General features: G+C 44.3%; 2 annotated features.

Moving 5' to 3' along the window:
* Nucleotides 1,802–2,302: an enhancer, noted in NCBI's record as "H3K27ac hESC enhancer chr1:92376156-92376656 (GRCh37/hg19 assembly coordinates)". NCBI's record gives its function as "activates a minimal SCP1, AML or CMV promoter by ChIP-STARR-seq in naive H9 embryonic stem cells {active_cell/tissue: H9 hESC(naive)}" and the evidence as "EXISTENCE:reporter gene assay evidence [ECO:0000049][PMID:30033119]".
* Nucleotides 2,303–2,803: an enhancer, noted in NCBI's record as "H3K27ac hESC enhancer chr1:92376657-92377157 (GRCh37/hg19 assembly coordinates)". NCBI's record gives its function as "activates a minimal SCP1, AML or CMV promoter by ChIP-STARR-seq in naive H9 embryonic stem cells {active_cell/tissue: H9 hESC(naive)}" and the evidence as "EXISTENCE:reporter gene assay evidence [ECO:0000049][PMID:30033119]".

Consider the following 13,993-nt stretch of genomic DNA (forward strand, 5'->3'; position numbering starts at 1 on the left):
AATAATTTCAACAATACTGAGAAAAAAAGGAAGACATTGGCATTATTTGCATTTGCAAATCACTATTGTTGGCTGAGTCAATTTTTCTAAGTGAAACAGCATCATGCTTACAAGAAAAAATAAGTTATTATAAATATTTTAAAAATACAAAAATGAAAAATTCGGTGTTCTTTGTTTAATCCCAATGCTGAAAATGACTTTTTAAACTCCTGATTTTATTCTTCAGCATTTTGGCATATGAGTGAGTAGAATACTGATGCCTCTCAAATTAGAAGATTCTTGTTGAGATTTCACTGGGCTTCACAAACATGATCTCATCTTTCAGCTTGGTTATGTTCCACATCTAGGAGTGAGGATGAGTATATGATCAGGGAGGAAAAAAAGGAAACATTTATATAAGCCCCATAATACACAACTTTCTTTTTTCTTTTTCTTTTTCTTTAATTTTGAGATGGAGTTTCACTCTTGTTACCCAGGCTAGAGTGCAATGGCACGATCTTGGCTCACCGTAACCTCCGCCTCCCGGGTTCAAGCGATTCTCCTGCGTCAGCCTCCCAAGTAGCAGAGATTACAGGGATGCGTCACCACGCCTGGCTAATTTTGAATTTTTGGTAGAGACTGGGTTTCTCCATGTTGGTCAGGCTGGTCTCAAACTCCCAAACTCAGGTGATCTGCCCGCCTCAGACTCCCAAAGTGCTGGGATTACAGGCATGAGCCACCGTGCCCAGCCCAATACAACTTTTTAAAACTCCAATAGAAATCTGTGATGAAGCCAGGCACAGTGGCTCATGCCTGTAATCCCAGCATCTCAAAACTCGAAACTCGAAACTCCATCTCAAAAAAAAAAAAAAATCCATGATGAAAAGAAGATGTAAACATAATATATATATATATATATATATATATATACACATGTGTGTATATGTATGTTTGTGTATTCCCTATGGGAGTACACAATCCAAACAGGGCATAATCATAGAATATGGTAAAGAAGTGAGAAAAAAGTAGTCACCCTTTGCAATGAAAACACTAAAAAGAATGAGATGAGCTATATGAAGATATCTTCCCTAGAGTGGACACACCCAAAATTTGAAACCTTGTTACTAATAACACTAGGGCGTCTTCCTAAATCACCAAGATATTGCATAAAAATCTCATCTGGAAGGCATCAAATTCAAATGTTATCTAATTAATATATAATAAATTGGCCAGGTGTGGTGGCTCACGCCTGTAATCCTAGTACTTTGGGAGACCAAGGTGGGCGGATTACTTGAGGCCAGGAGTTCAAGACCAGCCTTGACCATATGACAAAACTCCATCTCTACTAAAAATAAAAAATTATTTGGGCATGGTGGTGCACACCTGTAATCCCAGCTACTCGAGAGGCTGAGGCACAAGAATATCTTGAACCTGAGAGGCAGAGGTTGCAGTGAGCCAAGATCACGCCACTGCACTCTAGCCTGGGCAACAGAGTGAGAGTCCGTCTCAAAAAAAAAAAAAAAAAAAATATATATATATATATATATATATATATATAAAATAAACCATCCCTGGAAATGATATATTGCAGTGATGGAAGCTTTTGCAACTAGTGGGTTTAACATCTTTTGGTGTACTTCCAGAGTCCTTTTCAAGGAGAATGGACTTTGTGTGACCTACTGTAAGTGGTAATTAAGTAGAATCAATTTATGTGAATCAGTTTTTTTCTCTAATATTCTCAAAATATTTACTAAGTTCTATCATGTCTCTTACCCATACCATCCCAATTTAACTAATTAGAGTATAAGTGTTGCATCTCATTTATAGGGTACCTTTTAGGGATGACATCTACACAACCAAAGATGAAAGTCAGGCTGGGCAATTTATTCAGTCAATGTAATTAAGATATGTATTTATTTTTTATTTTTATTATTTTTTTTTGAGACAGAGTCTTGCTCTCTCGCCCAGGCTGGAGTGCGATGGTGCCATCTTGGCTCACTGCAACCTCTGCCTCCTGGGTTCAAGCGATTCTCCTGCCTCAGCCTCCTGATTAGCTTACATGCGCATGCCTCCATGCCCGGCTAATTTTTGTATTTTTAGTAGAGATGGGGTTTCACCATGTTGGTCAGGCTGGTCTTGTACTCCTGACCTTGTGATCCGCCTGCCTTAGCCTCCCAAAGTGCTGGGATTACAGGCATGCGCCACCGCGCCCGGCCGTTATTTATTTATTTTTGAGACAGGGTCTCACTCTGTCACCCAGGCTGGAGTGCAGTGGCACAATCATGGATCACTGCAGCCTCAACTTCTCTGGCTCAAGCAATTCTCCCACTTTAGCTTTCTGAGTAGCTGGGACTACAGGTGTGTGCCACTACGACTGGCTAATTTTTGATTTTTTTGTAGAGGTGGGGTCTCCCTATATTTCCCAGGCTCTTCTTGAACTCCTGGCTTCAAGTGATCCTCCTTCCTTGGCCTCTCAATGTGTGGGGATTACAGGAATAAACCATCACACCTAGCTGTGTTGCCCAGGCTGGAGTACAGTGGCTATTCACAGGTGTGATCATAGGGCACTGTGGCCTCGAACTCCTGGCTTCAAGCAATCCTCCTGCCTCAGTCTCCTGAGTAACTGGAACTACAGCTACTCGAGAGGCTGAGGTGGAAGGATCACTTGAGCACAGGCGGCAGAGGCTGCAGTGAGCCATGATCGTGCCACTGCACTCCAGCCTGGGTAACTGAGACACTGTCTCAAAAAAAAAAAAAAATTCTCAGCCTCAGGGAGCTTCTATTCTGGAAGACAGAAGTAAAATGCTTAATTAACATTTAACTACATCTTTTCTTATTTGAAAAGTAGATCACACACCATTAAAACATTAAAATAGGCTGGGCGTGGTGGCTCACACCTGTAATCCCAACACTTTGGGAGCCCGAAGTGGGTAGATCACGAGGTCAAGAGATCGAGACCATCCTGGCCAACATGGTGAAACCATCTCTACTAAAAATACAAAAATTAGCTGGGCATGGTGGTGCGCACCTGTAGTCCCAGCTACTCGGGAGGCTGAGGCAGGAGAATGGCTTGAACCCGGGAGGCGGAGGTTGCAGTGAGCTGAGATCGTACCACTGCACTCCAGCCTGGTGACAAAGCAAGACTGTGTCTCAAAGAAAAAAAAAATTAATCTCTAAATTGTCATCACAGATTGAATTTAAGAATACCTAGAAGGAAATATTGTACCACATGCATTATTTTTCTGGATTTAAGAGAGTGTGAAATCTCTTTAGCTGGGCGCCTATAATCCCAGATACTTGGGAGGCTGAGGCAGGAGAACCTCATGAACCCAGGAAGTAGAGGTTGCAGTGATCTGAGATGGCACCATTGCACTCCAGCCTGGGTGACACGGTGAGACTCCGTCTCAACAACAACAAAAAAAAGGTATGAAATCTCATTTAATGTTTATCATATAAATGATTACCTTATGGCTAAATTTGTATGCATTGTCCTAGAAAATTATGCTTTTCTTTGTAATTATGCTTTTCTCCCTCTTTCCAGAACACATTTCTTTCCAGAAAGAAAATCTCCGGAAAGAAATGTGTTCACAGTGGAATGTCTCTGATGTTTACATTAAAATCAATGGAGATATCAATCTCTCACTGGGTCTCAAGACTTCCTTTCTGTCACAATGAAGAATCCTCTGATTTAATACTTTGTTCATTAATCATCATTACACTATATTTTTAAAAAATCCCAATATATTTTGCTGGGTAAAAACTGTTGACTCCTTGTTTACTTAAAATATGATAGAATCAAGCATGAACAAATCACAGAACATAAATTTGGGTGTTCAAAATACAAAAGATTAAAAACATACTCTGTCTACATTAATAAAAACTTTCAAAGGGATTGCAACCAATTCTATCAAAGCCTCAGAAGTTCCTGCTTTGGCAGTTAAAAGAGAAGAACATGAAACATCTTGTGAATTTTTTTCTTTGTGGATAATTAAACACAAGCCATGAGAAAGCAAATGTGCAGATGTACACCATATTTTCCTCACTCTGAAGACTAGAGCCATGTTTTGGAGACTTAATATTTGAAAAAAAAAATTTGAACTACATGTGAGGTATGTAGACTTTTTTCTTAAATTAATGTTTTTTGGTAATTTTATCAAGCATCGCCCCTGTGTCTTCCTTTCTATTTAAAGTGATTGAGTTTAGTTATCCTCTTCTTTCTTCTTTCAGGGAGGCCAAACACATTTTCAAATAACCAGAGCACATTGTAAAAGTGTGTACGTGGGGGTGAGGGAGTGGCTCTCTATGTTAAGGTGGACATCGTCCTTCATTGAGTTTTCCCTTCATTCATAAGAGAAACCCTTCCTGCTGGTTGCTATCACAAAAAAGATACCATTTCTCCTGGGGCCTGCAAGAACTTATCTCCTTTTACTCAGAGTTGGAATCTCCCCAGGAGGAGGAAAATCAGACTCAATATTATTATGAATCACTTTCAAGCCCTAAAGAGCCACATAGAAGTCAGCCATCCTGAGAACTCTTACAATTCATCTGGTAACTTAACAATTAGTGGCAAAATATGTTCATTTATTTCATCTATTCAGCCAACATACAATGAGATCCTGTAACTGGCCCAGGGCGGCTGGATGTGAGGGATGCCACCAAGAAAAAGATACCTGCTCTCATGGAGATTAAAATCTGATAGGGAAGAGACATTGATAAAATAATCCCACTAAAAATATATATACATATAATTACAACTCTCATAAGAATCAGGCAGAAAAGGTACACGGTGCCAGAAATCTCAAAATAGGGGGACTTGATACAGTTGGGGAGGGAAAGAGGTCAGGACTGCTTTCCTAATGAAGGGATGGGGAACCCATTCCAGACTGAGCAAGGGTTTGTGGAGCTGGAAACACTGAATGAATGTCAGTGCAGCTGGATCTCAGAGAGCCAAGTCCCCATGGGCATTGGGACGGGAGAGGGAGGGGAGAGATAAAGCTGGAAATATAGGACAATAGTTAGATCAAACAAAGCTTTATGGTTTTTTTGTCCAAGGAGCACTGAAGAATGGGAAGCATATTTGCGTCTTAAAAATGCTCCCTCTCTCTCAGAGCTAGCAGGAAGGTCGGGGGTAGGTGGAGGGTTGCAGGGGATCTGGCCAGATGTAGGGGGCTGCTGTAGTAGTTCCGGAGAGTCACAATAGGCTAGTGCTAGGCTGATGATATTAGCCATGGAGACAAGAGGAGGTAACATAGACAGGCTAGTAAAAGTAACCATCCCATTGGAGAATGCAGAAACTACAGAACAGCCCTTAACAAAATGCTGTGAAGTCCATGCAGCAGATTTCCTCTCATAATATTGTAAAGGTGTCCCCTGTGTGTCAGCGTGTTTCTTTCACATTTCTTTTCATTCTGGAGAAGGGTGTGTCAGCTCAGATTCCATCTATGGGAAAAAAGTTTGATAAATGAGTTTTCAGTTTGGGCGCGGTGGCTCACGCCTGTAATCCCAGCACTTTGGGAGGCTGAGATGGGTGGATCGCTCAAGGCCAGGAATTTGAGACCAGCCTGCGCAACATGGCGAAAACCTGTCTCCACTAAAAATACAAAAATTTGCCGGGCGTGGTGGCATGTGCCTGTAATCTCAGCTACTCAGGAGGCTGAGGCATGAGAATCATTTGAACCTGGGAGGCAGAGGTTGTAGTCAGCTGAGATCACGCCATGCACTCCAGCCTGGGTGACAGGGCCAGACCTTGTCTCAAAAAAAAAAGTTTTCAGGCAATGGCATAGTGGTGAGGAATCTTTCTCTAGGCTGCCATTTCCCTCCCATGCAAAACTGTAAAGCAGAGATGGTCAGGCTTTAAGGGTTCCAGTTTCTCTTGATTGCCTTTTTCTACTCAGCCTGCCTAACTTTCGCTCTTTCACACTCTATCACCCACTACATCATAACCTGCTCTAAGGAAAGTGTCTGATAAACAAATTCTAACAAACATATAAAGAAAAAGCATATGAATGATTTCTCCCAAAGAGTGTTTATGTTTGAATATCTAAAGGAATGAATCTCTAATTATGGAAGGCCAGCCATCAGTCAACAAACGGAAAAAAATATTTTGGACTAGGCATGGTGGCTCACAGCTATACTCCCAGCATTTTAGGAGGCTGAGGCAGGAGGATCACTTGACCTCAGGAGTTCAAGACCAGCCTGGGCAATATAGCAAGATCCCAGTCTCTAAAAAAATTTTTTTTAATTGCCCGTGCACAATGGTTCACACTATAATCTCATCACTTTGAGAGGCTGAGGCAAGAGGTTTGCTTGAGCCCAGGAGTTTGAGACCAGCCTGGGCAAGATAGTGAGACCCCATCTCTACAAAAAAAAATGTTTTTGTTAGCCAATGAGGCCAGGCACAGTGGCTCACGCCTGTAATGCCAGCACTTTGGGAGGCCGAGGCGGGTGAATCACGAGGTCAGGAGTTCAAGACCAGCCTGGATGGTGAAACCCCATCTCTATGAAAAATACAAAAAATTAGCCGGGCATGGTGGCGGATGCCTATAATCCCAGCTACTCAGGAGGCTGAGGCAGAGAATTGCTTAAACCCGGGAGGCGGATGTTGCAGTGAGCTGAGATTGCGCCACTGCACTCCAGCCTGGGTGACAGAGCCAAACACCATCTCAAAAAAACTAAAAAATAAAAAAGAAAAGAAAAAGTAGCTGGTTTGCGACACACACCTGTAGTCCCAGCTGGGAGGTCAGGAGTTCCAGGCAACAGTGAGCTATGATCTCACCACTGCACTCCAGCCTGGGCAACAAAGCAAGACCTTGTCTCTAAAAAAAAAAATCAATTAATTAAAATTTAAAAAGAATGTGATCTGTATGCTTGACAGTTCCCAATTTCTACCTTCCCACTTGATCCTCCTCTGAGTTCCAGACTACTCTATCCAGCTATTGATCAACATCTCTGCCTGGACATCTTACAAGCATTTCAAATGTAATGTGTCCAAATCAGAACTCCATCTCCCAACCCCCAGAAACCCAGACTTCTCTAACTCAGTAAATGACAATATCAGACACTCAGAAACCTGGGATGAGGGTCGGGGGCATCCGGGACTCCTCCCTCCCTGTATTAGTTTCCTATGGCTGCTGTAAACAATCGCAATGTATTTTCTCCCAGTTCTGGAAACCAGAAGTCTGAAAGCACGGTGTCAGCAGGGCTGCTCTACCTGTGGGGCTCTCAGGGAGAAATCTTGCCTCTTGCAGCTTTCTGGTGGCTCTAGGTGTTCTTTGTGGCTGTATCATTCGATTTTTCTTTTCTTTTTTCTTTTCTTTCTTTTTTTTTTTTACATGTACCTGTTTATTATGAAGGATATTACAAAGGATACAGATAAAGAGGCACGTAAGACATGTAGGGTGAGGCATAGGGGAAGGGGTGTGGAGCCACCTTGCCCTCCTGGTGCAACCTTCCAGCTGTCTGGAAGTTCACTGAATCCAGTCCTTTTGGATTTTTCTGGAAGCTTCACGACATCAGCATTTCTTTCCCCAGGGTATAGGGTGGGACCCTCTCATGGGAAGGCCTTAAGACCCACAATCAGAAAGTCAAGAGGACATTAGAGTGGAAGGGAGACAGGAAAAGGGACAGAAGGCCTGCCCCTGAGGCCTAACACAGCCAACGTTCTAACAGAAGGTTCTAACAGGGCCTATGGGAGTTATGAGCCAGGAACCCTGGGTAAAAATAATATATATCATAACACCACAGGCCACCCCCTGGTTTTCAACCACGGATTTTTTACTCTCTCTCTCTCTCTCTCTCTATATATATATATATATATGCTTACTATATATATATATACTTACTATATATATACACTTACTATATATATACTTACTATATATGCTTACTATATATATACTTACTATATACATATACTTACTATATATATATATACTTACTATACATATACACACACACACACACACACACACACACAATCATGAATAATCCAGACCATCATATTGTTTCATGAACCCAAAAGTATCTGAGACAGATCTCAATCAATTTAGAAAGTTTATTTTGCCAAGGTTAAGGACACACAGGACACAGCCGCAGGAGGTCCTGACAACATGTGCCCAAGGGGGTTGGGTTAGAGCTTGCTTTTATACATTTTAGGGAGACATAAGACATCAATCAATACATGTGAGATTTACGTTGGTTCAGTCTGGAAGGGTGGAACAACTCAAAGCAGGGGGGCTTCCAGGTCATAGGCAGATTTAAAAATTTTCTAACTGGCAACTGGTTTAAAGAGTTATTAACAATAGAAACGAATGTCTGGGTTATGATAAGGGGCTGTGGAGAGCAAGGTTTTATCATGCAGATGAAGCCTCTAGGTAGCCAGCTTCAGAGAAAATAGATTGTAAATGCTTCTTATCAGACTTAAGGTCTGTGTTGATGTTAACGCTGGTTGGTATTTCCCAAATTCCAAAAGGGAGGAAAGTATAGTGAGGCATGTCCAGCCCCTCCTTTCCATCATGGAACTAGTTTTTCAGGTTAACTTTGGAATGTCCTTGGCTGAGAGGAGGGGTGTGTTCAGATAGTCGGGGGGCCCTGGAATTTTATTTTTGGCTTACAGTTTGAATATCTCCCAAGATGAGGCCACTCAGGTTTGCAGGTTTCCTCTCAATCTTGTCAGGTTCCAAAGCAGAAGTGGCCTTGGTAAGTATACAGCTCACACTTTCAGGCATCTGGGATGATGGAGCTAAGACATAATGTCATCTCTTACTCTGAGACTCTTTTGAGTTTTTGAGTTGTTGTGTTTTTGTTTGTTTGTTTGTTTTTGAGACGGAGTCTCGCTCTGTCGCCCAGGCTGGAGTGCAGTGGCTCGATCTCGGCTCACTGCAAGCTCCACCTCCCGGGTTCACGCCATTCTCCTGCCTCAGCCTCCCGAGTAGCTGGGACTACAGGCGCCCGCCACCACACCTGACTAATTTTTTGTATTTTTAGTAGAGACGGCGTTTCACCTGTTAGCCAGGATGGTCTCAATCTCCTGACATTGTGATCTGCCCGCCTCGGCCTCCCAAAGTGCTGGGATTACAGACATGAGCCACCGCATCTGGCCATCCCAGCTAATTTTTAAAACAACTTCCCCTAAAGCTGGGTCTCACCATATTGGCCAGGCTGGCCTCAAATTCCTGACCTCAAGTGATCCACCTGCCTTGGCCTCCCAAAGTACTGGGATTACAGGCGTGACCACAATGCCTGGCCTTAATTTCTTTACTGGAAGTTACTGTTTCTCTCTCTCTCTATTAATATTCAAACTTCGTCACCTTTGGAAGGAACATTAGAATTGCCACTGTGCTGGTCTAAACTGCAGGTAGCGATGCAAGTCTAGCAAGTACCTCCTCCTCAATCCATTCTCATTCAGGTAGGGTAAGGTAACACAGGTGTAGAACTAGTGAGCTATTTTTACCACTAGGCAGTATAGCTGCATTCACTCTTTTTTTTTTTTTTTTTTTTTTTTTTTTTTTTGACACGGAGTCTCGCTCTGTCGCCAGGCTGGAGTGCAGTGGCGTGATCTCGGCTCACTGCCACCTCCGCCTTCCGGGTTCAAGCGATTCTCCCGCCTCAGCCTCGCAAGTAGCTGGGACTACAGGCACGTACCACCACACCCAGCTAATTTTTGTATTTTTAGTAGAGACAGGGTTTCACCATGTTGGCCAGAATGGTCTCAATCTTTTTTTGTTTGTTTGTTTTGAGACAGAGTCTCACTCTGTCGCCCAGGCTAGAGTGCAGTGGTGCGATCGCGGCTCACTGCAAGCTCTGCCTCCCGGGTTCCCGCCATTCTCCTGCCTCAGCCTCCCGAGTAGCTGGGACTACAGGCGCCCGCCACCACGCCCATCTAATTTTCTGTATTTTTAGTAGAGACGGGGTTTCACCGTGTTAGCCAGGATGGTCTCTATCTCCTGACCTCGTGATCCGCCCATCTCGGCGTCCCAAAGTGCTAGGCTTACAAGCGTGAACCACGGCGCCCAGCCGGCCTCAATCTCTTGACTTTGTGATCCATCCACCTCTGCCTCCCAAAGTGCTGGGATTACAGGCGTGAGCCACGGCGCCCGGCCTGCATTCACTCTTTGCTGCAATTTTGCTAGATAGGGTGAAAGTACACCCATCCCAGTTATGCCCTTAGGAATTTCGACATAAGGTTTAACAATATCATTACATTTTTTTGCTTACAAATCTGGTTCAGGGCCAGGCGTGGTGGCTCACGCCTGTAATCCCAGCACTTTGGGAGGCTGAGGCAGGCGGATCACCTGAGGTCGGGAGTTCGAGACCAGCCTGAACAACATGGAGAAACCCCCTCTCTACTAAAAATACAAAAGAATTAGCTGGGCATGGTGGCACATGCCTGTAATCCCAGCTACTCAGGAGGCTGAGGCAGAAGAATCACTTGAACTTCGGAGGCGGAGGTTGCAGTGAGCCGAGATGGCGCCATTGCACTCCAGCCTGGGCAACAAGAGCGAAACTCCATGTCAAAAAAAAAAAAAAAAATTCTGATTCTGATGCGATGGCTCACACCTGTAATCCCAGCACTTTGGGAGACCAAGGCTGGTGGATCACTTGAGGTCAAGAATTCAAGACCAGCCTGGGCAACATGGTGAAACCCCTTCTCTACCAAAAATACAAAAATTAGCTGGGCATGGTGGCACATGCCTGTAATCCCAGCTACTTGGGAAGCTGAGGCACGAGAATCACTCGAACCCGGGAGGTGGAAGTTGCAGAGACCTGAGATTGAGCCACTGCACTCCAGCCTGGGCAACAAGAGTGAAACTCTGTCTCAAAAAAAAAAAAAAAAAAAAAAAAAACAGAAATCACCCCTGCTGATCCAGCACTTGTACTTGCAGCCCTGGCCCTGGGACCACTGCATCAGGTAAGGGAGAAAAGAAAAATTTCGAGATGATTTCAGGAAGAAAGAAAAAATTATAGTTGTTATACTGGCATACTCCTCCCTTGGTAAGGAAAACCAGCATCCTCCCCAACCACCTTTCCCTTCCTCAGATCAACCAGAAAAACAAAAAACCTAGCAGGGCCACTCTAGTCCCACTCGTGTTGAGTGTGAGCACACACTTATGAAGGTATGTAAGCCAGCCCAGCATGCTCTTATCTCTCCCTGATTTAGACAATGTTTCAATTGCCAGTCTACTTCTGCATCAAACTATTACTCTAAAGAGGGTATCTCTCTGCCCATTGTTGGACATTTTGCGCTGTACAGTGTGTTCCTTAATCTGAAGAAATGATGGTTGGCCGTCCTAATCCAGGCAACGTCTTCTGTTTTTCTTTCTTTTGCACTCTGTTTTCATTTCCATTGGATAAGCAAAGCCCATGTGAGTCAGCATCTATTCCTGTGAAGACCCACGTATAGCCCCCCAGGGCTTCCGGCATCAGTCTCACTTGCCAGCTATGATCGGGGCCTTCCCATCACAGACTCTGTTCCACAGCCATCAGCAGTCCCTGTCTCTCTTGCTGAGATACAGAATAGTTCTTCCTGGCATTTTGTGCCTTGGAATTGCCACCCACAAACCAAGCGGCTGTTGGTTAGTCGGTTGAGAGCTGTTTATTGTGCACTGTAGAATCCCGCAGTTTCTCACATAGTTCCAGAGTCAGCCATAGTGGAAAAGCAACTCCCTGCATTCCCCAGGTAACATGATGATCCTCCATAAACCATTTCCATTTTACTACGAACTCTTCTGGGCACTGTGTCCCCATTAGAATGTTTCTCTGGGCTTGGTGCGGTGGCTCACACCTGTAATCCTAGCACTTTGGGAGGCAGAGGCGGGCGGATCACAAGGTCAGGAGATTGAGACCATCCTGGCTAACACGGTGAAACCCTGTCTCTACTAAAAATACAAAAATTAGCCAGGTGTGGCGGCGTGTGCCTGTAGTCCCAGCTGCTGGGGAGGCTGAGGCAGGAGAATGGCGTGAACCCGGAAGGCAGAGCTTGCAGTGAGCCGAGATCGTGCCACTGCACTCCAGCCTGGGCGACACAGCAAGACTCCGTCTCAAACAAACAAAAAAAACAAACAAACAGAATGTTTCTCTGGCCAGGCACAGTGGCTCACACCAGTAATCCCAGCACTTTGGGAGGCTGAAACAGGAGGATTGCTTGAGCCCAGTAATTAGAGACCAGCCTGGGTAACAGCAAGACCCTGTCTCAAAAAAAAAAAAAAGTGTTTCTCTGACATCACCCGAGACAGCATGGGTATTTCAGGTGGTATACAGGTAACTTCAGCTAATGTTTCATAGCAAGGCCCATCAAGAGGAAATTCTCTAGTCCAAAGGTTCCAGTAGTTGTTGCTGGGAGGTGTTCAGAGGCTTTTTTTTTTTTTGAGATGGAGTTTCGCTATTGTTGCCCAGGCTAGAGTGCGGTGGCACAATCTCGGCTCACTGGAACCTCTGCCTCCTGGGTTCAAGTGATCCTGCCTCAGCCTCCCGAATAGCTGGGATTACAGCCCCTAGCCACCACAACCAGCTAATTTTTGTATTTTTAGTAGAGACGGGGTTTCACCACGTTGGCCAGGCTGGTCTGGAACTCCTGACGTCGTGATCCACCCACCTTGGCCTCCCAAAGTGCTGGGATTACAGGCATGAGCCACCACGCCCAGCCTAGAGGCTTTTGCCATAAACTCCAGGAAATACTCCACCGGGGGTTAGAAAGTGGAGAATTTGTCCCTACCAGCACTCTAGCTTCTACTGTGCACTGTGTGAGCTTGGGCAATATTACTGGTTCCCATTTAGCGTGTCCAATTAATGTTTGAAAAACAGATTCACATGCCTTATGTTTTACAGTACCAGGTAGGGAAAACATTCCCCAATCAGATAAAATGTTCATTCCCATGATACAATCAGGTAGAAGAGATGCTGCTGTGTGCGGTGGCTCGTGCCTATAATCCCAGCTCTTTGGGAGGCCAAGGTGGGCAGATGACTTAAGCTCAGGAGTTTGAGACCAGCCTAGCCAACATGATGATACCCTGTCTCTACAGAAAATACAAGAATTAGCCGGCGTGACAGCACGTGGTAGCAGCTACTTAGGAGACTGAGGCACGAGAATCACTTGAGCCCGGGAAACAGAGGTTGCAGTGAGCTGATATCGTGTCACGGCATTCCAGCCTAGGCGACAAAGTGAGACTCTGTCTCAAAAAAAAAAAATGCAACCACTTCACGTGAAGTGTATTCAAATACACCAACTTTCATAACTGGCTCCTCCATTTTTATGTTCCAGTTTCATGAACTCTTCCTCACCCCCAGACCATTTTATCCTCTCTTGTGCCAAAGTCTTTGGGTCCCCAGCCAAGGGTTGAGCCAAAGGACCCTGCCTCTTTTGTCAATCTTTATCTTGATTAGTCTGCCCGACTATTGCCCTAAGCAATTTCGGATCAGATTTTTCATTGTAACCTCTGCCTTCCCGCTTTTTAAATCTCTCCAAACTGAGAAAAACACAGCAAACTGGTTTGGGCCCTTTAATTGTGGGAGACCCAGAAGATTTGGTTCACTCAACCTACGATAGAACTAAGATTTTTATTGTAACCTCATCAATTTTCATTTTATTAATTCCATTTCTTAATAGCCATCTAAATATTTCCACCATGCTGGGATGAGTCCCATGACTCTCTCCTTTCTTATTCTCCCTTCCTTCCTTCCTTTCTTCCTTCCTTCCTCTCTCTCTCTCTCTCTTTCTCTCTCTCTTTCTTTCTTTCTTTCGAGACAGGGTCTCACTCTGTTGCCCAGGTTGGAGTGCGGTGGTATGATCATGGCTCACTGCAGCCTTGACCTCCCGGCTCAAGTGATCCTCCTACCTCAGCCTCCCAAGTTCCTGGGATCACAGGTGTGTGCCACCATGCTCAGCTAATTTTTTCATTTTTTTTGTAGAGATGGGGTCTTGCTTTGTTGTCCAGCCTTCTTTTTTCTTCATAGTTTCACCCCATCATCTTATTTCTTTATTCACCATATTTCTTAATAACCATTAAAAAATTTCTTG

This window comes from Homo sapiens, chromosome 1, assembly GCF_000001405.40.
Source record: "Homo sapiens chromosome 1, GRCh38.p14 Primary Assembly".
Taxonomy (NCBI): Eukaryota; Metazoa; Chordata; class Mammalia; order Primates; family Hominidae; genus Homo; species Homo sapiens.